At 43.2% G+C, this 25,349-nt stretch overlaps 1 long non-coding RNA gene across 1 annotated transcript in view, besides 1 other annotated feature; it reads right to left on the bottom strand.

Annotated features, from left to right (window-relative positions):
• Positions 1 to 25,349, bottom strand: part of LOC105379315 (uncharacterized) — a 283,462-nt gene that overhangs the window by 245,174 nt on the left and 12,939 nt on the right. The gene's annotated exons all lie outside the window — the stretch shown is intronic.
• Positions 5,244 to 5,757: an enhancer, noted in NCBI's record as "NANOG hESC enhancer chr8:20554878-20555391 (GRCh37/hg19 assembly coordinates)". NCBI's record gives its function as "activates a minimal SCP1, AML or CMV promoter by ChIP-STARR-seq in naive H9 embryonic stem cells {active_cell/tissue: H9 hESC(naive)}" and the evidence as "EXISTENCE:reporter gene assay evidence [ECO:0000049][PMID:30033119]".

Here is a 25,349-nt window from a genome sequence, read left to right as displayed (position 1 = left end):
GAGCTAAGCAAAGTCTTACCTTTCTCCTCTCTCTATAAAAAGAGCTTAAAGTTCCCTAGCACTGTCAGAGATTAAGTGAAAACCAAATGAAATAATAGATGCAAAAATAAAAGATAACTCTCATTGAATAATAAGTGCCAGGCATTATTGTAGTGCTGTAATCCTCACAACAAGGGTATGGCAGGGGTCAACCATTAGCCTTGCTTTTCACAAATGTGGAAACTGAGGCACAGAGCATTATGTAACTAGTCCCAGATCACTCTGGAAGACCAAGACTTTTTTTTTTTTTTTTTGAGATGGAGTCTTGCTCTGTCACCCAGGCTGGAGTGCAATGGCACAACCTTGGCTCAATGCAACCTCCACCTCCTGGGTTCAAGTGATTCTCCTGCCTCAGCCTCCCAAATAGCTGGGATTACAGGCATGAGCCACCACCCCCAGCTAATTTTTGTATTTTTAGTAGAGATGGAGTTTCGCCATGTTGGCCAGGCTCGTCTCGAACTTCTGACCTCAGGTGATCCACTCACTGTGGCCTCCCAAAGTGTTAGGATTACAGGTGTGAGATACCATGCGCGGCCAGGAAAACCCAGACTTTGACCCAGGCAGCCTGTTCTTAAGTGCTGTGCTGTGAAGGAACCTATATGCCAGGAAGCTTTACAGTGTGGAGCTTCCAGACCCCGTGTTTTCTGAGTCTGGACCAGGACAGATGCACTCACCCCTTCTCTTTCTGGCTTTGCTTGACTTGTCAGAGGCCTCCAGGAAGACAAGGAAACATCATCACTTTTTCCCAGTTCCCTGCACTGAGAAGCAAGTATCTGCAGGTCCACTAGACCTGGTCAGATCTCATCAATCTGTTCATGAGCTCAGAGGCCAACACAGGACTGCCTGAGCACTGAAATCTCCCAGATGCCAAGAAAAGAAAAAGCAACTTTCCGCTTCCATATTCCCTGCACCCCATCAGCTGGAGAAAAACAGCCAAGGGTAGAGCCTCATTCCTCGCTCCCTCCTTCCCCAGCTTTCCCAGTTGGCACTTAGGAACTATACATGTCACATCTCTGGGGTCACATTCTGTAAAATAACATCTGTCATTGCCGGCAGCCATCAGTGGGGCTGGCACGCGGTGGCTCACTCTGCCACTCAGACATGGCTCCAGAAGGGAGGGCGCCAGAAAAGATGCCTGGGAAACTCTCTTCGGGGCCAGAACCTCAAGGGTGTGGACGATGAACCCAAGCAGAAAATGAGGCCAGCCTTGTTCTCAGGATGCTCCAGAAGGTGGAACTGTTCTCATCGGCAGCTTTGCGCTGAGTCTGCCCTGGCTGTGAGCTCCTCTGACGCACATCTTCACCTTCCCTGCTCCTGCCAGCCCCACTGTGCCTAGATAAATTACTGCTGAGCACAAGTCCCATTTCTACAAAATGGGCGATGATGAGGGAGAGAAGATATGTATGCCTAAAAGCATAAGCCAAACTTCATAGTCTCAGCCCATAATGCCCAGAGTAACCCCCCTGCCGCCAACACCCACATAGAAGAAAAGATCATAGAAAGGGTAAGAATTCCCCTATTTGGCAAGATTTGAGGGCCACCTGCAGTTCCACCTCCTCCTACACATAAAATTCAACAACTGGGCCCTCAGAGACCTTCCTCTGAGTGAATCATTGCCTTCTCTCCAGATGTGCTTTTTCAAAATACAAATACTCTCATTTAACTTCCCCCAACCCAGTATGAATATGCTATCAGTTGTCTCTCCTTCCATCAGGTAGGCATGGTTCAGGCAATGTGAGAGTTCTGGAGGAATTTGGGGGAAAGGGAAGGGAAACGGCCCTGGAGTAGCAAAAGGCTCCGAGCAGGCTGAAGAGGTGTGGTTTAGGATGGGAAAAAGCATTCCTTCCAGGGACACAAGGATGTTCCGGAAACCACCCGGCAGAGGCACCCTGTAAGGTGCCTGGAGTAAGCCCGGTAAGCCCAAAAGTGTTGGAGAGAACAATGTAGTATCTAGTCTGGTCCCTGCATTGAAAGAGGGGAAAACTAAGGTGCAGGGAGAGCAGCTAGATCTCTGCTCTTGGCAGACAAGACCCTAATTCTGACTTCCTGGATGAGTGGATATGGCTGCCTTTGGGACCTCAGGCACCTAGAATGGAAATCTGGAGAGGCAGGCTAAGATCAGGGCTCAAGGACTCCTCCTGCTACTCCGGGCACCTGTCACAGTGGCTATACAGCCAACTGCTTCCCAGCCACATGGAGGATGGATCCCATCCAGCCCCAGGCCTCCCTGGGAATACAGAAGCAGAGCCTATGAGGGCTTGGTCCCAGGTACCAGCTTCTGGGCAGCCCCTCTGTGGGTCTGCAGTGACCGGAGAGGGGTCAGTTGGTGGCTGACCAGCCTGGGTCATTAATCTCATTAAGTCTGGCAGCCGGTGGTGGGAACAAGTACAGGAGCCCTGCTCCAATCGAGAGGGAATTTCAGGGCTCCCTTTAACCTAATTGGGCCAGCAAAGCCACGCTACAAAAAGCCAGGCAAGACGCCCATTTTGCTCCACTGCTCGCTTTGAAGTCTCGCTTCATCAAGTTTTTAAACATGAGATGCAGCCGTTTGATTGTTCATATTTAATGTGTAACACAGGAGATCAAAGGGCAGATAGAGATGGGAAACATCAGGCAATAATTAAGCATCACTCTGAGAGCCTGGCTGGCTCCCCTCCTTTCCCCTCCCCACGCCAGCCCCTGCTTATTCCGAAGCCCCTTCTTTCATCTTTTCCTCAGGCTTCTCCACTCTCCCCATCTCTACTCATCCCCTCTCCTCCTTCCCACCTTTTCACCTCTTGGTTCACTGGCCTTTCACATTTCATCCCCTCCTGCAACAACCACAATTACCCACCTAGCTCCTGCTGTCTCCCCCAATCAAAGACTTCCACATCCTCCCGGAAACTCCCTCCCCTCCACCTCTCTCTCCCTTCCTCTCTTCCTCCCTCCCTTTGCTTTCTGCCATCTTCCCCTTTCACCTCCTTTCCCCCCTTTCTGCTCCTCCCTCTCTCTCTCATTCCCTAGTCTTTTGCACCCTTTCTCTCTGCCTGCTAGTGGAGTCACCATGACAACGGCCTCCATGACAATTACAGCCCAGGCAGCAGTGCCTCTTCCCATGAGGCACTCCAATACTCACTTGGAATTTGCTCCCTGATTTCATGGCCCAGGCAGTGAATTTGCCTCACTCCCCAAGTTTCCACAAGGCCACAGGGAATAGACTTGGTAGCCAACCACAGCCCCGAAGATGGGAGAAAGCAAAGAAGGAAGAATGAAGCATGGGAGAGAATGAAAGAGGAGAGGGGGAACTGAAGCTCTCATCTTCCTCTTCTCTGATGGAACACAAAGGACTCCAGCAAGTAAGAAGGGGGGTTGCAAAGGCTGGGGAGATGGGGCTGGGTTTGCTAAACTGTATCCCTTCTCCCATCCTGAGGCCTCTGCAGAAAGCAGTTGTTTCCTTTAGGTCAGGAAAAAAGAAAAAGGGTGCAATAGCATAGTGTGATGGGTGCTGCAACTTTCTGTTTCACTACCTGGGAGTGCAATCAACACAACTCCCAAACTGCTTTGCACAGTTCCTAAAACTCTTAACACTTGGTAATTGTACTTTGGCTAGGAAGGTAGCTCCTGGCCACATGTGTGTGGAACATCTACTTCATATGCAATACAGAGCAGGCAGCAGCAGAATGCACAGAACACAACACACTGTGACCAAAAAAACAAAATACAGGTAACTGAATACCTACCACTAAACACTTAAGATGCAACTATATAAGTAGCAGATCAAAATAAAGAGATGCAAAAAGACACAACACAACTAATTTCTTCACAAAATAGGAAATAAGTTGACAGACAGCACCATCCCTTGCTCACCTGGCTCTTGGGGCTCAAGAGAGTTTATATGGTTTGGCTCTGTGTCCCCACCCAAATCTCACCTCGAACTGTAATCCCCATAATCCCCTTGTGCCAAGGGAGAGACCAGGTGGAGGTATATGAATTATGCGGGTGGGTTCCTCCCATGCTGTTCTTGTGATATTCAGTGAGTTCTCATGAGATCCGATGGTTTTATAAGCATCTGGCACTTCGCCTACTGGCACTTCTCCTTCCTGCCGCCTTGTGAAGAAGCTGCCTTGCTTCCCCTTGGCCTTCTGCCATGATTTTAAGTTTCCTGAGGCCTCCCCCGCCATGCTGAACCATGAGTCAATTAAACCTCTTTCCTTTATAAATCACCCAATCTCAGGCAGTTCTTTATGGCAGCATGAAAATTGGCTAATACAGGAGTAGAGCAAGAGTATGCTCCGGAAGGCTGAGTAAGGCCTGAGGAGGCAGAGAAATGAGCTTGGAAGGTTGGCCCATGCCGACCAGAACAATCACTTAGCCACGTCATGAAAAGACTTGGATGCCAGGCTAATTAGTTTCAACTTTATCTGGTAGTTTTCGGAAAAGCATCGAAGACGGATTGCAGTTACTTACCTACATACTAAAAAGTCCAGCATGTATGTAATTTGTTTTATAAAAAGTGAATGTCACTGAAAGACTGAAAGATAGTAATGGGAATACTGTGCACTGGGCAGGGTGGAGGGGAGAAGGGGAGTCCTGATGTGGCCACATGTGGATGTGATCCCCTCAAACTATGCAGGTTGGACCCTCCTGCTCTGCTGACATCATTCGCCAGCCCTGGTCCGGTGGCACAATCACTCAGCCACTCAGCCTGCTTGCAGCAAGACCTGCTGACTCCCTGGCTGTTTTTATGCCATCTTCCTGCTTCATGCCTGAGGTTAGGTTGAAGAGATGAGGTTTTACTTGAAAAGTTTATTTTCCTTTCCCAGATGCCTTGGATAGAATAATGAGGATGTGAACTTGAGAACTCAAACCTTGTAAAGGCCTATAGTATCTTGTTCACGGAGAATACAATCAGTGTGGTTATATAAATTTCAATCACAAAGCAGATGGAGATGAAGTGAGGTCATGCCAGCTTCTCTGAGAGGCTGGGTGATGTAGCAGGAAGGAAGTAAACTAGGGGGGTGGTGTTGGGGCCTGGTGTGCCACCTGCCAGCCAAGGGGCCTGAAATATCAGGTAATCTCACTTCCACATCTATACCATGGCCAGAATCAAACAAGGCCTATTTATCTCATGGGGCCGCTTCGAAGACTGAGTGAAATAATAGATCCAAATGCCCTGAGGTGGCTGAAAATAGTTTTTGACTTACGGAATCCCCACATCTCTCTCGGCAGTGGTGGTTGCGACGTGACCCTTAGGTGACCAACACATCATGGTCACAAGTCTGGGCTGAAAAGCTCCTGGGTGGTGTGAACAGAGACGTGATCCACTTGGATCTCAATTTCATCATTGGTGAAATGACAAGGTTGGACCAAAGTCACCTTTTCTCTAAAATGTAGAGCAGTGGAGATCATTTTAGAGGGAGCATGAATATAGTAGTAAGTTACATTTAATCCTGAGTGAGCAATTGATCTCCTTTTCAATTATCATTCAATCCTTCAAGTCCCAGCTTGGTTCTGAGTTCTCAGTTAACACCTCTTTAATGGCTACTAATTTACCTTTTCAAGGAGGAGAAGGCTGGCCTCAGGCTTAGAACCTTGACAAGCAGCAGTACCTCACTGGAATTTAATGACATCGCTGAGTTTTCGTTTTATTTCTTTTTTTGCCTTCTATTTATAGGAAGTGATATTGGTTTTACATTTACAGTAATAGTACAAAGTGTTTTTTTCTATACATGTTTAAGTAAAAAGGCGACTGGTATTAAAGGAAAATACTGCATCAATAACTGCAGATGGTGTGCAGATATGGCAGAAATTGTGGAGGCAGCAAGAATTGGAGAATTGCTGGGCCAGCTGATCCTTAAGATTCCTTCAAGCATTAGCGTCACCTGATACTTTCACTTCGCCTCCTCATATGAGCTCGGTTTCCCACAGGGCTTGTCTCTGCCTTGGCAGTCAGTGAGACAACAGTGATTTAGATTCCCAGGAGACCCACCTTCAGCACCAAGGCAGCCGTGCTAAACCAAGGAGGTCCTTAAGATGCTTCCCCAGTCCACTCCTGTAGGATCTCCCATTTGATCTCACATTTGGCAAATAAGGAAAATGGACCCACCCCACCTGCATTTACATGATTTTCCCAGAATCACACTGTTGATGGTGAATCAGGGCTCCAGGTTAGTTTCTCCAAAGCCCCAATTCTCTCCAGAATCCCTTCCTGTTTCTATAGCCCCCACTATTCCTGGCTACATACAACAACGGCAACACCAAAAGCCTCTTTTGTGTCTGAAAAAGTCAATGTAATTTCTTCAGATCAGGGAAGAATCTGAGTCCTTCAGACCCAGCTGTGGGATGCGTATTACCCACCTTGCCTCAACAGGATGAAAAGAGAGACAGTCCCAGCCCTCTAGCCATGAACTCTTTCAGTGGGAATAGTAGACAGAGCAGGAGAAAAAGTGGTAATTGGCATTGTCCATTGACGTCACCACTTCCATCTTAGGGAACCCTTTCCATCCCCTAAGATGGAATTGGACCAAAATCTTTTTTCAGCTCACCAAACTTTCTACAACCTCTTAAATGAATCACAATGAAAAGATCATCTATTTACTCATTTAACAAACATTGAGCATCTACTGTGTGCAAGGACCTAAAACATATGCCACGAACAAAAAGACTATGACCTCACAGGATGGATTAAAATTAAACACACAAGCAATTATAGCACAGAGCAGACTGTGATAATAAAGATTATTATTAGACATAATTATAAAATGCACATCAATGAAGATCTTACCATGTGCCAGGCACTATTCTAAGAACATGTTTATGGGTTGTTTTACAACATGCAGAATGAATTCTATGAAATACTAGTAATATGCCAATTTTTCAGATGAGGTATCTATTAGATAAATAACCAGTTCAAGGTCAGTCGGCTCCTAAATGGCAGAATCACACTCAAATCCACCTGACCCCAAGGCACCCACTCTGCCTGCTAGAGCAGCATTTTGGACTAAGCACCTTTATTCATTATCTCACTTTTACTAATAGGCAGTGTAGCTATGCTGTGAGAGTTCAAACCTGGAAGCAGGTTGCCGGGGTTGAATCCCCGTTCTGCAACTTCCAGTTCTGTGATGTTGGGAAAGTTGCTTCACTTCTCTCTGCCTCAGTTCCGGCACTAAAGAGGGTTTTGTTGCAATGGTTCAGTAAGTTAACATGTGCAGCATGCTTAGAAGGTTACTCAGCACATGCTGTAACTGGATGAGTGAAAGCTGTTATTACAATGCTGTAGATATTATGAGTCCCATTTTACAGGTGAGGATACTGACCCTCTAAAAATGAGCTAGCTTATCTAAGGTCTTGTATCTGCTAACTCTTTCCCTTATGTAAATCATGTGGTGTTTAGAAAAGAGGATAATTAACTACAATCCAAGGAAGGACAAAGGCAGTTCAGAGTCTGGAAAGGCTTTTTTTCCAAGAAGAGACAACACGAGGAAACCACCATAGAGGAGAAATGCGAAGATAGCCAACGGCTAGGAGAGATTCACTGGGCTACGATATAGGGCCCTAGGAATGGACAGTCATCTCATGGCTAGGATAACACCAGACATGGCACACCTGAAATGCGCAAGCAGGAAGACCTAGAATGACACCAGACATGACAAAGTATTGAAGGCCCTGAACAAAGAAACTGTATCAGAACCAGCAGCAGTGTGAGAGGTCACTAAAGGCAGAGAGATTAGACTCTCTTATATATTAACTTATTTAGAAGTTAGTAAGACACTGAATAGACTCCGTTTTTAATAACATTTTTGTAGACAGGGGCAGTAAAAAACAGATTGGAATTTATTTAGATATTATTCATTTGATATAAATGTAATGAGCATCTATTAAACACTAGGCACCAGGGATGCAATATGTGGTGAGCAAGATGCAATCGCAGTCTGCAGGGAGGTAGAAAATCAAATAGGTAATAATAATATGTGGTAAGTGTGATGGAGCCATATGGAAGCCGAATCTGACCTAGATTGGAGGGGTCAGAAAATACTTCCTGGAGGAAATGACATCTAAAAGATGAGGAGGAATTAGCCAGAGGGAAAATGTGCGCAGGTTGTCTTCCAGGCTAAGGGGATAGCACGTGCAAAGGCCCTGAGGCATAATAAGTCATGGCTTCTTCAAGAAGCAGAGTAAGGTGGTGGGGATTGGATAGAGCTGGTGATGGGATAAGAAATGTAGCAAGAGCTAGATCTTCTAGGACCTTTTAATCAGCATTAATGAATTTCTAGTTTATGATAGAGATCAAAGGGAGCCATTGAATTGTTCCATAAGATCAGGTTTATTATTTAGAAAGACCACCACTGTGCAGATTGGAGGAGGCAAGAGAGATTGCAGGGAGACTCAGCAGTGGGGTAGAGTAGTAGGTCTTATTAGAGAAGATAGTAACTTTTATAGGGACATAGTGATGAAAACAGGAAAAAAAGGATAGGATTTAAAATAAGTTTAGAAGGTAAAACTGACATGATCTGGTGATGACTGGATGTCAGGGGTGAGCAGGAGGAGAAAGGGTGAGTTAAGTCACTGGGCAGATGGTCCTGCCCCATCAGAGACAATGAGTCCAGGCAGGAACAATGGGAGCCAGTTTATTAGCATTCCATTCTCCAGAGAAACAGAGCTAAGGGGATGTATATATGTAAGAGAGATGTTTAAGAAATTGGCTCGCAAGATTATAGAGGCTGGCAAGTCTGAAATCTACAAGCAGGAAGGGTCAATGTTGCAGTCTTAAGTCCAAAGACCATCAGAGGCGGAATTCCTCCCATCTCAGAGCGCCTCACAGTTTTTTTAACACTGACAGCTGGTAAGATGAGACCCACCCCCCCATTATGAAGGGTAAACTGCTTTACTCAAAGTCCTCTGCTGTAAATGTTAATCACATCTAAAAAAATATCTTCACAGAAACATCTAGACTGGTGTTTGGCCAAACAACTGGGCACCATAGCCTAAAGAAATGGGCATGTAAACTTATCATGGGGGAAAGAGAATTTAGTTTTAGATCATTCCTCACAGTGGAACATCCTAAGGAGCTGTTGGCAAGGTTAATTCAAGTTCACAAAACAAGTCATTGATTTGGAGGGGTCTTGTTCCCAGAAGCAGCTATCAGAGGGAACTATGCCTTTGTGAGCAGCAGTGAGATAAGGAGAAAAAATTAAGACAAAGGATATCATCCTTATTCAAGAAGGAAGAGGACCCAGAGAGGAAAACTAACGCCAAGGAAAGAGCCTTTCAAGCAGGAAAACACAGTCACAGAGTTGTGTGCCAAACAGAGGGGGCAAGAGCACTCAGAAAATTACATAGGGTTTGCATTTTTCAGTTGCTGATTCAACAAGTTTGAAAGAGAGAGAATATGAGCTCCTCCCACATGCCAGGCAGTGTCTAGACAGTGTCTTGTCAACTGGCCACAAGCTCCCAGGCAGATAATTGCATGTGCTGCTATCCAGAATTTTCTGCTGGTGCACCACGCGTCCTCGTGGCTCCCAGGAAGTCTGCTAGGTCAAGCATGGCCAAAGACAGCTCTTCCTTTCTAGAGGGTGCTCATGGGACCCTGTGTACTCCTGCTGTGTTAATTTGTACTTCTTCATGTGCTCTACACATTTTATGCAGGTAATTGACTCTAATTTCTCTGAATAGACCTGCTGGCTCCTCAGGGGACTGAGATTGTGCCTTTTATGCTGTCAGAGCTCAGCACCCTCCCCCAGGCCACTTACACACTCCTTGGGGCCTGGCAGAGGGATCTGCATCCAGCAGGTCCTGCTCAAATGACTGGCTGACCCACTCCCTTCATGAACAGCTGCCTCCCACTGCTCCCCTCCCCAGGCTGCCTTCTCAGCTGCTGCCAGAGTGACCACCTTCATAATTACAGAGAGTATCACCTTCCTCCTCTACCTCAATTCCTTTGCAACATCACCTCTGTGAAAAGAATACATCTAACTCTCCAGTGCATCTTATAATAGCCCTTCAAAGTCTGGCCTGAGCCTTCTCTTCTCCAGGTTTATTGATTCAACATTCTTTCAAAAAATATTTACTGAGACACAGACATTGAAGACAGGGTGATTGAGATAACCGACAACAACAACAAAAAACGCTTGCTCAGATGGGCTTACATCCTGGTCGGGGGAGAAAGAAATAAATGAATAAATAGTGGCTTTCATTTCAGAACCAGTGAAGAGAGAATAGAGAGTAAGTGGGCACACCACTTCATAGGGACAGGAAAGAGAGCCACCCTGGAAAGGCAGCATTTGAGCAAAGACTGAGAGGAAGTGAGGGTGAGAACTTTGCAATATCTGCAAAGTGGAGTTCAGGCAGGCAGAACTTATTAGTAAAGCCCTAGAGTTAGAGTAGATACTTAGAATGGTTTTTTCATCCTCTGAATTCTCCTTTTAGAGTGGTTGGAAAGCTTACATACAACTTTACTTCCCAGAATCCATTGCAGTTAGGGACTGGGTATAAACGATAGTCAGTTATCTACACTTGCACAAGATTTGCCAATTACCCACCCTTGCAAATATTCAGAGCCACTTCTTCCAGTGTTTCTGACAGCTGCTCTGCTCAGGGAGGTTCTGGTTCTATAGTGGCTGTCTGTCCTGCAACCTCCCAGGGTCCAGAGGTTGCTTTAGGCAGCAGCTGCTGCCTCTCAGGCAGCTCCTTCCCACAGCCAAAGCTCCAAGAGAACCACTGCCTGCTCCTCTGGTTGCCCCTATAGGCTTATGTGAAATGAAGACTTCCCACTGGGCCAGTTCCTGCGGCTCACCACACCTTTTCGGTTCCGCTAAATCTGCCCATACTTTCTTTAATAAAGTCCCTTCAAACTGGGCCTGGTGGCTCATGCCTGTAATCCCAACACTCTGGGAGGCCAAGGCGGGTGGATCACCTGAGGTCAGGAGTTCGATACCAGGCTAACCAACATGGAGAAACCTCCTCTACTAATAATGCAAAAATTAGCCAGGTGTGGTGGTGCATGCCTGTAATCCCAGCTACTCTGGAGGCTGAGGCAGGACAATCACTTGAACCCGGGAGCTGGAGGTTGCAACGAGCCAAGATTGAGCCATTGCACTCCAGCCTGGGAAATACCAGCAAAACTCCGTCTCAAAAAAACAAACAAACAAAAACACTCCTCAATTACTCACTAGGTACACTGTCTACTCCTTGAGTAGGTGTTAGTCAGAGAAAAGATATGGACTGACCACCAAGGGGTCTGGGGAGTCTGTCCCCTGAGAAGTTAGTGCATGTACAGTGAATTGGTTCACAGGAGTGAAGGGGTTTTGAGGAACTGAGAAGGAAAGGAGATACTAGGGTACAGAGAGCAAGGGGTGAGCAACATCAGATGCGACTGGCAGGCTCTGACGTGATGCTGGAGGACTTGGGAGACCACGCAGACAGTGATGACCAGCCAAACCAGGAACCAGGCATCCGACTTGGCACGCAACGCTCATTCCAGTTCTATCCCATCATAACTTCTGGTTTCTGTTCTCTTTGCATGCCTCCTTCTTTCTATAGCATCCTCCCTTTTTCCTCCTTTGTATGTTTCCCAGAAATCACACAGTGATGAGTGGGTTTAAAGAGCCACCTGGAAAAAATGAACATAGAACCCAGATTTCCCCAACACTGCTACTACCCTGATTTGTCACATGGCCAGGAGAGAGGGTTCTGAAGCTTTGAATCCCTCCTGCAGTATCTCAGGGAGAGGTGCAGGAGATGTGGTTATGAAGTACACAACACCATGAGATCTCGCTGATTTATTTCCCTTCTCCTGGGATGTTGAGGTGCACAACTCCTTCAAATCCCCAGGAACTGGCCTTACTGCCAAGGCAGCCAAAGCTTCTTCCTGAAGCTCTCTTTTGTTTTTCTAACTGTGCCCGCCGCCCACAACTGCTCCTCTGAAGCACCAACAGTGAGGGTCATCTCAGGTGTGCTTGATTCTGTTGCTCCTTCAGCTATTAAGGCACTTGAGCATGATGCCATATTTCCTCAGTCTTAAGAGCTATCATCAAAACTCTGTTTGTAACAAAAAGGTTCCCAAGCTGCTCTTAAAAGCCTAAATCTCAGCATCGTCTGCAGAGATATTCAATGGAGTGTCAGTTAGAGGGTAGCTGTGTATTTTCAGAATGGAAACTCTCATTGATACTCTGCAAATCAAGAAGAGTTGAGGGGTCCCAGGAGCCCTGGGTTTGGAACCCCTCTCCTTTATTTTGCCCCATGTGACTGTGTTTTGAAAATTTTTCTTTGGTTGACTAGAAATCTCTGTAATTCAGAATCACTGCCATTTTAAAGTAAATTTGAATTCACAAAAAGTCTAAAATTGGGGAGTGTTAATGAATGCAATATATTCCTTTTAATGTACTTAGAGCCCCTCTCAATTTGTGATCAGTTGCACTGAACATGTAGGTATAATGTAGAATCTGGATATTGGAGTTATGGGAAGACAAGACTCAGGGGTTGTCAACATATTAATATTTATGTTATTTAGGAGCCTCCCCTGCAATCTTGATCAACATTTTTAGTTTTTCTATATATTTATTTATTTTGAGACAGGGTCTTGCTCTGTCACCCAGGCTGGAGTGCAGTGGTGTGATCATGGCTTACTGCAGCCTCAACCTTCTGGGCACAAGCAATGCCCTGACCTCAGCCACCCAAGTGTCTGAGACCACAGGTACACACCACCACACCTGGCTACTTTTCTTTCTTTTTTTTTTTGCAGAAACTAGCCATCATTTAAGCCCAGGCTAGTCTCAAACTCCTGGGCTTAAACAATCCTCCTGCCTTGACCTCCCAACTGCTAGGATTACAGGTGTGAGCCAACATGCCTAGCCATTTATCAACATTTTCTTCCACTCTTGCTAGCCAAATTCTGCTCATCCTTCTAGACCAATTTGAGGCCTGCTTCCTCCATCACGATGGTTCTGTTCTCACTGATCATCCCCATCATGACTTGCCATTGAGTTTATTATCCATCCCACTCATTTGACTCTGAAATATCAGAATAGTAGACTGACAGAGCTTCAAACATGATAACTTCTTCATGGGCGAGGTATTTTGAAAACACATGGGGGTATTCTTGGTTACCACTATAATTATAGAGCACTATTAGCATGTGCTGGAAAGAGAACAAAAGTCCGACAGTGATGGGACAGTCCTGCAAAACAAGGAACTGCCTCATATCCTACATAAATCTCAAGTGCCCCACCAGAAAACCAGAGACTCCATGCATGAATGCACGCCTTAACATATGGTGGGACTTCACATGGAAGGTGTATGTTCCGTGATGCCCTGTCACTCTCCCATCCCGTCACAACATCAGGCATTATTTTGACACCATGTTTATAAATAAGGCCCAGCTCATCTGTAAGAATATTCATTTTCCCTACTTCTACATGCAGCTTATAATTAGAGTTGGCACATTGTCCTTGCTTCAGTTAAAGCTGTTTCCCACTTTCTCTTTTTATGTGCAAATAAGTCTAGTCTGTTACTTGTTACCCTTACATGGATTTTAGTTCTAGAATATGAGTGTGTGTACCTCTGTTCCTTTATTTCATGTACTTCCAGCACAGACTGCTTCTGATCTTCTCAATGCCTCTTAAACTCAAACTTATTCATTGTAAGTAGGTGCAACCACCCAAGTACTTCATTACATCTTCTATTGTAGCTATATCTGAAAATTTACATATTAAAGTGCATATTATTTATTTTAAAATGCTTGCTTTTTATTCCTTCTTTATATTATACTTAGGGTATTATACTGATTTTTATTACATATCTAAGTATAAAATCTGCAAATTTCATTTCAGTTTGGTAAATGAGGCATTACAAATTATTTGTTATAAAAGGGATATTAAGTGCAGTAAGTTTGAGAACCACTGATCTATTACAATCCCTCATTTTACAGAGGAAGAAAGTGAGGTACAGAGAGATTAAGTGGCCCCATCACTAAGTTGTGGATCAGGAATTAAAACCCTGATCCTGCAGTCCAGTTCTCTTACTTTGTTCTCTAATTTTAGCTGAACATTGAGTCATTCTTATTTCTGTAGTAGGATTATACTCACAATCTCCTTAAGAACAGAGCCATTTTGCACAATGCTTTTTCTGCAATCATCACAGTGACTAACACAGCATTAGACATAGAGTAGTTACTTAATTCATACTTAATATGTCAGATTGAATGAAACTGAATTGCATTGAATTGAAAGGAAATGATTTGAACTGAATAGTGGGGTTCTAATGTTGTATGGCAAATGGTGGCATCCAGTGGGAAATAATCAGAACCATCAGTTCTGGGCCAGGGAGCCACGGCTGGCACAGCTACGTCGGAGTCCCCTCTTTACCTCCTCCCTGTCCTTTACCTGTTTCCAGGCTCTTGCCATGAACTGAGTACATTTTTTGCCTCCCCTTTTCCCATAGCTGTTGACCTGCTCAGCTCAGGGCCATTTTAAGAGGCCTAGCAACATTCATCTCTGGCTGTCCCTTCACCAGCCATATCCTTGGGATATAGGTTGATTCCAAAGCTGAGAAAGGTCCTCCAGGCCCTACAATATTTCCAGGGAAAGAGCTAAAAGTCAGTTGTCCCCCTTTCAAGTTTTTTCAGGTTCCAAATTACTTCTTTTCCTGGCTTTTCCTAAATGTGTTAAGAAAGTTAGTCTATGGTGAGATGCTTTGTTGACACGACACAAGAACTAATCCTACAAGTCAGTGGGAATGGCATGAAAATACTGACTCAGAAGCCAGATTCCAGAGTGGATAAATTGTTGTATCTTCCTGGTGAGTGTGCATGTGTGTGTTTACACACACACATAAGCAGGAAAGAGAGACAAGACCCCGCACCTAATACAGTTGCAAAATTGAAAATGAGTCCCAAGGAGGTGGGAGACTCATAAAGGAGTGCTAAGAAGTTTCGGCAAACTGTGGAATCATGAGGGTTGTGACACATAGCATGACCTGTAAGGAGGAAATTATTTGGGACCATGGTGAAAAAATATGCATCATGGCTCTAGACACCACATAGAGTAAGCTGATTAGATATAAATCTTGCTTTCCTATATGACATTCAACTATACGGGCACAAGGCACCATGAATAACAACAATAACAATGAGTAAAATGCTCCCACTTTTGATTTAGATTTTAAAAGTTATGAGATTATAACTTCCACCTAATTACCAAGAGAAAACATAGTACTAATAGCCGTTATAGAACTAATAACACAAAGAAATCTAAATGAACTAAAAATAAGAAAGAACTCCCAAGGCATTCCAGATCTTCCCAAGACCTCTGAAGACCGGAAGAATGGCAACAGGACTGAAAGCAAACTCCCAAGGTGCAGAGAGCAGTGGGCAGGACTTGAAGGCAAAGACAATGTATTAATGACCAAGGATTTGTCAGCCTAGTTGTAAAGCAAGGAGAGGTCTTCCACATATCTGAAAGCTGATGGCTCAGCTGTGAGTCACAGGCAAATCCCCAGAACCTCACCTGTGCTGAGACCTCCATTTCTGATAAAACGGGAAAAGTGCCTATCCTGTCCTTAAGATATTTGAAGCTAGCGGTGAACTGAATAAAACTAAAACTACAACAGAATTATCTCAATCTAGTCTAACTCAGATGAGATTGATTTATCCCCCAGTCTCACGGCGTCACAGAAAAACAGGAGTGCACCTTTCTGGAAGCAAACATTACTTCCTTCAGTATGTAGTGTTCTTTTGTATGTAATGAGAGCAGAAAAAGGTAAGAAAATGGTAATACAATGTCAAGACAGGAACAGACAATAGCAAACAGTACCAGAGATGATCTAGATGTTGGAATTACCAGACAGAGAGGCTAAAGGGGTTATGATAAAAATCCTAAAGGGTCTAGTGGAAAGGAGAATACCTGTGGGAAGAGATCGGAAATTTCAGCGGAGACATGGAAGCTATAAAAAAGAACCAAATCAAAATGCAAGAAATAAAAAACACAATACTGGAAATAGTTTATTAAATGGATTAGCAGAAGACTGAACATGGTAAGGGCAAAGATCAGTGAACTTAAAGACACATCAATGGAAAGTGTTCAGACGAAAACACAAAGACAAAATGGGTGAAAGAAAAACAGAACAGAGCATCCTAGATCTGGCATACAACAGCAAATGCTTTAAAATATAAGTAATGTGTAGAATGTCCCAGAAGAGACAAGGGAGATGGTGAAGCAGGAGAAACATTTGAGGATACAAAGGCTAATGAACGGTTCAAAGGCATCAACCTGTACACCTAAGAAGGTCAAGGAACTCCAAGCAGGATAATTACAAAGAGCCCCTCCACCTCAGGTGCACTGTAATCAAACAGCCTAAAGTAGTAGTAAACAGCAGATCTAAGAGCAGTCAAAGAAAAAAGACACATACTAGGGAACAGTGATAAAAATAATGACTGACTTTTCTCTGTAAATAATGATGAACAGAAGCCAATGGAATGATATTTTATTTACTTCTCAGTAAGCTAAGTTTAATTTGTTGAAGAATTTTTTTTTATAAATTCAGTGTGGCCTAAGCCAACAGTGTTTGTTTCCAGACAGAGTCGCGCTCTGTCACCCAGGCTGGAGTGCAGTGGCGTGATCTTGGCTCACTGCAACCTCCACCTCCCAGGTTCAAGTGACTCTCCTGCCTCAGCCTCCTGAGTAGCTGGGATCACAGGCAGGCACCACCATGCCTGGTTAATTTTTGAATTTTTAGTAGAGACAGGGTTTCACCAACCTGGCCAGGCAAGTGATTCACCTGCCTTGGTCTCTCAAGGTGCTGGGATTACAGGTGTGAGCCACCATGCCCAGCCAACAGTGTTTACATTGTACCCATTAATTGATTTCCCGTCATCTACCCTGTCCCACCCCATCGCCCCACTGAGTTTCCATTGTCTATCATTCCACTCTATGTACATGTGTACACAGTTTTTAACACCCACTTGTAAGTGAGAACATGCAATATTTGACTTTCTGTGCCTGGCTTGTGTCACTTAAGATAATGACCTCCAGTTACATCCACTGGAATAATATATTTAAAGTGCTGAAAAATTCAAAAGGATGGAAGAAGATCTACCAAGCAAATGGAGAACAAAAAAAGGCAGGGGTTGCAATCCTAGTCTCTGATAAAACAGACTTTAAACCAACAAAGATCAAAAGAGACAAAGAAGACCATTACATAATGGTAAAGGGTTCAATGCAACAAGAAGAGCTAACTATCCTAAATATATATGCACCCAATACAGGAGCACCCAGATTCATAAAGCAAGTCCTGAGTGACCTACAAAGAGACTTAGACTCCCACACAATAATAATGGGAGACTTTAACACCCCACTGTCAACATTAGACAGATCAATGAGACAGAAAGTTAACAAGGATGCCCAGGAATTAAACTCAGCTCTGCACCACACGGACCTGATTGACATTGACAGAACTCTCCACCCCAAATCAACAGAATATACATTTTTTTCAGCACCACACCACACCTATTCCAAAATTGACCACATACTTGGAAGTAAAGCTCTCCTCAGCAAATGTAAAAGAACAGAAATTATAACAAACTGTCTCTCAGACCACAGTGCAATCAAACTAGAACTCAGGATTAAGAAACTCACTCAAAACCACTCAACTACATGGAAACTGAACAACCTGCTCCTGAATGACTACTGGGTACATAACGAAATGAAGGCAGAAATAAAGATGTTCTTTGAAACCAATGAGAACAAAGACACAACATACCAGAATCTCTGGGATGCATTCAAAGCAGTGTGTAGAGGGAAATTTATAGCACTAAATGCCCACAAGAGAAAGCAGGAAAGATCCAAAATTGACACCCTAACATCACAATTAAAAGAACTAGAAAAGCAAGAGCAAACACATTCAAAAGCTAGCAGAAGGCAAGAAATAACTAAAATCAGAGCAGAACTGAAGGAAATAGAGACACAAAAAACCCTTCAAAAAATTAATGAATCCAGGAGCTGGTTTTTTGAAAGGATCAACAAAATTGATAGACCACTAGCAAGACTAATAAAGAAGAAAAGAGAGAAGAATCAAATAGACGCAATAAAAAATGATAAAGGGGATATCACCACCGATCCCACAGAAATACAAACTACCATCAGAGAATACTACAAACACCTCTATGCAAATAAACTAGAAAATCTAGAAGAAATGGATAAATTCCTCAACACATACACTCTCCCAAGACTAAACCAGGAAGAAATTGAATATCTGAATAGACCAATAGCAGGCTCTGAAATTGTGGCAATAATCAATAGCTTACCAACCAAAAAGAGTCCAGGACCAGATGGATTCACAGCCGAATTCTACCAGAGGTACAAGGAGGAACTGGTACCATTCCTTCTGAAACTATGCCAATCAATAGAAAAAGAGGGAATCCTCCCTAACTCATTTTATGAGGCCAGCATCATCCTGATACCAAAGCCAGGCAGAGATACAACCAAAAAAGAGAATTTTAGACCAATATCCTTGATGAACATTGATGCCAAAATCCTCAATAAAATACTGGCAAACCTAATCCAGCAGCACATCAAAAAGCTTATCCACCATGATTAAGTGGGCTTCATCCCTGGGATGCAAGGCTGGTTCAATATATGCAAATCAATAAATGTAATCCAGCATATAAACAGAACCAAAGACAAAAACCACATGATTATCTCAATAGATGCAGAAAAGGCCTTTGACAAAATTCAACAACCCTTCATGCTAAAAACTCTCAATAAATTATATATTGATGGGACGTATCTCAAAATAATAAGAGCTATCTATGACAGACCCACAGCTAATATCATACTGAATGGGCAAAAACTGGAAGCATTCCCTTTGAAAACTGGCACAAGACAGGGATGCCCTCTCTCACCACTCCTATTCCACATAGTGTTGGAAGTTCTGGCCAGGGCAATTAGGCAGGAGAAGGAAATAAAGGGTATTCAATTAGGAAAAGAGGAAGTCAAATTGTCCCTGTTTGCAGATGATATGATTGTATATCTAGAAAACCCCATTGTCTCAGCCCAAAATCTCCTTAAGCTGATAAGCAACTTCAGCAAAGTCTCAGGATGCAAAGTCAATGTACAAAAATCACAAGCATTCTTATACACCAATAACAGACAAACAGAGAGCCAAATCATGAGTGAACTCCCATTCACAATTGCTTCAAAGAGAATAAAATACCTAGGAATCCAACTTACAGGGGACGTGAAGGACCTCTTCAAGGAGAACTACAAACCACTGCTCAAGGAAATAAAAGAGGATACAAACAAATGGAAGAACATTCCATGCTCATGGGTAGGAAGAATCAATATCGTGAAAATGGCCATACTGCCCAAGGTAATTTATAGATTCAATGCCATCCCCATCAAGCTAGCAATGACTTTCTTCACAGAATTGGAAAAAACTACTTTAAAGTTCATATGGAACCAAAAAAGAGCCTGCATCGCCAAGTCAATCCTAAGCCAAAAGAACAAAGCTGGAGGCATCACGCTACCTGACTTCAAACTATACTACAAGGCTACAGTAACCAAAACAGCATGGTACTGGTACCAAAACAGAGATATAGACCAATGGAACAGAACAGAGCCCTCAGAAATAACGCCGCATATCTACAACTATCTGATCTTTGACAAACCTGAGAAAAACAAGCAATGGGGAAAGGATTCCCTATTTAATAAATGGTGCTGGGAAAACTGGCTAGCCATATGTAGAAAGCTGAAACTGGATCCCTTCCTTACACCTTAGACAAAAATTAATTCAAGATGGATTAAAGACTTAAACATTAGACCTAAAACCATAAAAACCCTAGAAGAAAATCTAGGCATTACCATTCAGGACATAGGCATGGGCAAGGACTTCATGTCTAAAACACCAAAAGCAATGGCAACAAAAGCCAAAAGTGACAAATGGGATCTATTAAACTAAAGAGCTTCTGCACAGCAAAAGAAACTACCATCAGAGTGAACAGGCAACCTACAGAATGGGAGAAAATGTTCGCAACCTACTCATCTGACAAAGGGCTAATATCCAGAATCTACAATGAACTCACACAAATTTACAAGAAAAAAACAAACAACCCCATCAAAAAGTGGGCGAAGGATATGAACAGACACTTCTAAAAAGAAGACATTTATGCAGCCAAAAGACACATGAAAAAATGCTCACCATCACTGGCCATCAGAGAAATGCAAATCAAAACCACAATGAGATACCATCTCATACCAGTTAGAATGGCAATCATTAAAAAGTCAGGAAACAACAGGTGCTGGAGAGGATGTGGAGAAATAGGAACACTTTTACACTGTTGGTGGACTGTAAACTAGTTCAACCCTTGTGGAAGTCAGTTTGGCGATTCCTCAGGGATCTAGAACTAGAAATACCATTTGACCCAGCCATCCCATTACTGGGTATATACCCAAAGGACTATAAATCATGCTGCTATAAAGACACATGCACACGTATGTTTATTGCGGCATTATTCACAATAGCAAAGACTTGGAACCAACCCAAATGTCCAACAATGATAGACTGGATTAAGAAAATGTGGCACATATACACCATGGAATACTATGCAGCCATAAAAAAATGATGAGTTCATGTCCTTTGTAGGGACATGGATGAAATTGGAAATCATCATTCTCAATAATCATCATTCTCAGTTTACTGAGAATGTTTTGTTCTTGGTCTGTCGCAAGAACAAAAAACCAAACACCGCATGTTCTCACTCATAGGTGGGAACTGAACAATGAGAACACATGGACACAGGAAGGGGAACATCACACTCTGGGGACTGTTGTGGGGTTGGGGGAGGGGGGAGGGATAACATTAGGAGATATACCTAATGCTAAATGACGAGTTAATGGGTGCAGCACACCAGCATGGCACATGTATACATATGTAACTAACCTGCACATTGTGCACATGTACCCTAAAACTTAAAGTATAATAATAATAAAATAAAAAATAAAGTGCCGAAATAAGAATCTGTCAACTTAGAATTCTATCCAGTGAGTATACATAATATATATAGTATGTTATATACAACATACTACATATATTTTTATGTAAATATACATAATTACATTTAATGTATTTAATACATGTTATATACCACATTAATTTAATATGTTTAATAGCTACTTATATGTGAATACATTAATCATATAGTTATATGTATAATTACAAATGTATTTATATACATAAATATATTTATATATTCCATATATGATGTATTTTTATATATAAATAATGAAGTATACATCCACTGGGTAAAATTCTAAGTTGACATATAAATACACCATATACAACATAAATGATTACTAACTTTGTAAAGCAAAAACAATAGCAATGAACCATGGGCTTGTAGCATACATAATAATGCAATTTAGACAACACCAGCACAACGTGTAAGAGGTATGGAATTATACAATTATAGATTCCTCCACTCTCATAAAGCAGTACAATTTATTATTTTTGTGCTAACTCACAATGTATTATTGATAAATTTTTTGAGAATGATGGATAAATTTCAAGAAGGGTTAGGGTAAGGTTGACTTTCTCCTGCTTTTAGTTCTGTGTATACAAAGCCCACATTTATATTGTTAATCCAAACTACATTTTATTTTCCTTTTTTTCTGGCCCAATGGAACAGCAGAATTTAAAAATAGAATTCCTCAGCAACTTGTTTCATGATCAGTACAGACAGATTTACTATAAGATTCCTAGGCAACATGTTGCAGTATTTAATTTGAGGTTGGGCAGCTCAAGGCCCAAGTCCTGCCTCTATCTGCACTGTGTGACCTCAGGCATGTTACTTAAATTTTATGAGCTTAATTATCTCATTTGTAAAATGAGGCCAATAATTCCCAATCCACAGGATCATAAAGAATTAGGTTAAATAACATCATAGAGGAGCAAAGCACAGTGCCAGGCATATTTCAGGAAATTGCCAGCTCCCTAGTCCCCTGTAAGCTCCAAATCTATGTGGCAACCAAGAAAATCTGATTGGATTCTTTATGTATTGGTTGACTTGGAACTTCTAGGAATTTGTCTTTATTCTCTTTATATAAAAGTCAAGGCCGGGCACAGTGGCTCATGTCTGTGATCCCAGGACTTTGGGAGGCCAAGGCAGGTGGATCACTTGAGGTCAGGAGTTCGAGACCAGCCTGGCCAACATGGTGAGACCCCGTCTCTACTAAAAATATAAAACTTAGGCGGGCATGGTAGCACACACCTGTAATCCCAGCTACCTGGGAGGCTGAGTCGGGAGAATCGCTTGAACCTGGGAGGCGAAGGTTGCAGCGAGCCGAGATAGTGCAACTGCACTCCTGCCTCTCCCGCCTGGGTGATAGAGTGAGACTCCATGTGGGGGGAAAAAAAAAAAAAAAAAAAAAAAAAAAAAAAAAAAAAAAGTCAGGTAGTGGCTACAAAATAAGTAGATAAAAGAAAAATTAACACTATTTAGGACTTAACAAGCGGCACTTAAATGAGCCCTAGCAAGGACAATGACTCAGAAATAAGTTGATTTTTCTGCAGATGCTTCTGAAGTTCTCAAGTACTTGGGGGTCAAACTGGCAAAATTTATAGAAAGATTCACTAAGTCCTAGAAAGCCTTGGAGCATGTGAGGGAGGAAGGTAAAGTAGAAATATCCGTGCTTGCCTCATTCTGGGCAAGCAAGGCGGGGCACTCAGTGGATATTCAGAGGGCCTCCTCCCTGGAGGGAGAAGAAGACTTGTGCAGAAGATCCAGGCAGGCCCATTTCTTTTTCTTTTTCTTTCTTTTTTTTTTTTTTTTTTTTTTTCCCTCAAGACAGGGCAGCAATCTGTTGCCCAGGATGGAGTGCAGTGGGTTGATCTTGGCTCACTACAACCTCTGCCTCCCGGGTTCAAGTGATTCTCCGACCTCAACCTCCCGAGTAGCTGGGACTACAGGCATGCACCACCACACCTGGCTAATTTTTGTGTTTTTAGTAGAGACAGGGTTTTACCATGTTGGCCAGAATGGTTTCAAACTCCTGATGTCAAGTCACCAGTCCACCTAGGCCTCCCAAAGTGCTGGGATTACAGGAGTGAGCCACCACACCTGGCCAAGACAGGCCTATTTCTAAGCCCCTTCTCTTCCATCTGTATGGCTCCAGGCAAAGTCCTTGACATTTCTGACCTTCAGTTTCTTCCACTATGAGAAGAGATAATAAAACCCATCTTCTAGCATTGTTGATAGTAGTAAGATCAAACATGTAAAGGAAAAGTTGAAATCAGGAGCTCTTTGGAGCAATCTGGCTAGCAGATGTACTTTGCTTAGCCTGCAGAATGCTGCATAATGTTTTCTATTTTTTGAATTATTGGTCAATTGCTTATAAATAAGAGATTGCACATTTTAAAAATCTATATTTCTATATGCTCTTGAAATACCAGAAGATCTGGCAACCTTATGCCTATACTTCTCTAAGAAATTAACCCCTTAAAACTAAGTAGTAACCATTTCTTGTGTACAGAACTTATTTTCTCCAGATTGTTACAGACCTCACCATTCCTCATTGTCTCACTTATACTGAAAGTCAATTCACTCGCTGATATTACCTGCCTGTTCTATGGAAACTCTTTTGCACTAGGGATGTAAAATGTCCAGCTCTACAATTAAGGGTTAATAGATACTCTTTCCATTCTTCCCTCCACCTGGAAGGTCCCATGACCAGAAGAGATTCAGAGAGGAACGCAACTGGTGGGATCATCTCCTCAAGAGCCTGACCCTTCTCTTAACCTTGCACCTCATCAGCTACCCTCATTTCAAGAACATAAATGGGGAAAGGAGAATGGGTAGCACTTTCTTAGCCAAAAGACACAGACCTCTTTCTCAGCAGACTACAGTTAGTGCCAGCTACAGAGGAACACCGTGATGCATTAAAATCACTTTAGAAATCTTTTCCAGGAACCTGGGGTCTGTCTCTGAGACCCGATTTAAATGTGACTCATCTCAGCCATATAAGGGAGGAAGTATGGACCTGGTGCCTGAGGTCCAAGAAGAGAGGTGGGGCCGGGCGTGGTGGCTCACGCCTATAATCCCAGCACTTCAGGAGGCCAAGGTGGGCAGATCATTTGAGGTCAGGAGTTTGAGACCAGCCTGGCCAACATGGTGAAACTGTCGCTACTAAAAGTACAAAAATTAGCCTGGTGTGGTGGTCCACGGTTGTAATCCCAGATACTTGAAAGGCTGAGGCAGGAGGATTGCTTGAACCCAGGAGGCAGAGGTTGCAGTGAGCCAAGATTGCACCACTGTACTCCAGCCTGGGTGCTTAAAAAAAAAAAAAAAAAAAAGTGGGAACTCAGCAGGTCTCTCCCAGCAACCCTTGAAATTCACTAGGCCTTGACTCTTCTGAATCCATCAGTGCAAGCTTCCTGAAGGGCAACTGCAGTTCTCTAGAGGGCTAGATGAGAGGGAGAACTGTGGATGATGAAGAGGAGAAAAGCTGGTGAGCTAGGAAAGGAGTGTGGAATGGGAGTGGTTTTCCAAAGGATCGCATGTCTTTCAGCAAATAAGCTTATTGTTACAGCACAAAAGAACTAGAATGCATTTGAGAAGGGGCAAGCCCACTGGAAATTGTGCAGCTCAGCCTCTGGCTTACTGCAGCGGGCGACAGATGTATAAATCATATGCAGCAGGTGAGAGAGAATAGCTGGGAGCCAGCAGCAAGTTGGTTAAGATGAAAAGCATTCATAAATCCTGGGCTTCAACATCTGCCACCTATGATTAAAAATTAACTGGAGGCATCTGACCTTTCCGTTGCCCCAGAGCAGCCAGCTGTAGATGCCAGGGACAGCCGGAGTCCCTGAGGGGACAGGTGAAGCTTGCAGAGCAAGAGACATGGAGTCTAGGAGGGAGTCCTTAAAACCAGGGTCAGAGGACACCCTGTTGGGATGAAATGTGACTTCTGGGAACCTAATCTTCCACACCTGATATACTCAAGTATTACAGTTGGGAAAAATTAAGAGGATGGATAGTTCAGCATCCTTTATCCAAGTTTTTCTTTTTTTTGTTTTTTGTTAGTTAGTTTGCTTTTGAGACAGGATTTTGCTCTGTCACCCAGGCTGGAGTGCGGTGTGCAATTTTGGCTCACTGCAACATCCACCTCCCGGGTTCAAGCGATCCTTCCACCTCAGCCCCCTGAGTAGTTGGGACTGCAAGCACACACCACCATGCTCGGCTAATTTTTAAATTCTTTTGTGGAGATGAGATCCCACTATATTTCCCAGGCTGGTCTTAAACTCCAGGGCTGAAGCAATCCTCCTACCTCAGCCTCCTACAGTGCTGG

Source organism: Homo sapiens, chromosome 8 (assembly GCF_000001405.40).
Source record: "Homo sapiens chromosome 8, GRCh38.p14 Primary Assembly".
Lineage (NCBI taxonomy): Eukaryota > Metazoa > Chordata > Mammalia > Primates > Hominidae > Homo > Homo sapiens.
Note: the sequence above shows the minus strand (reverse complement) of the source record. Positions and strands in the feature narration are given on the sequence as shown.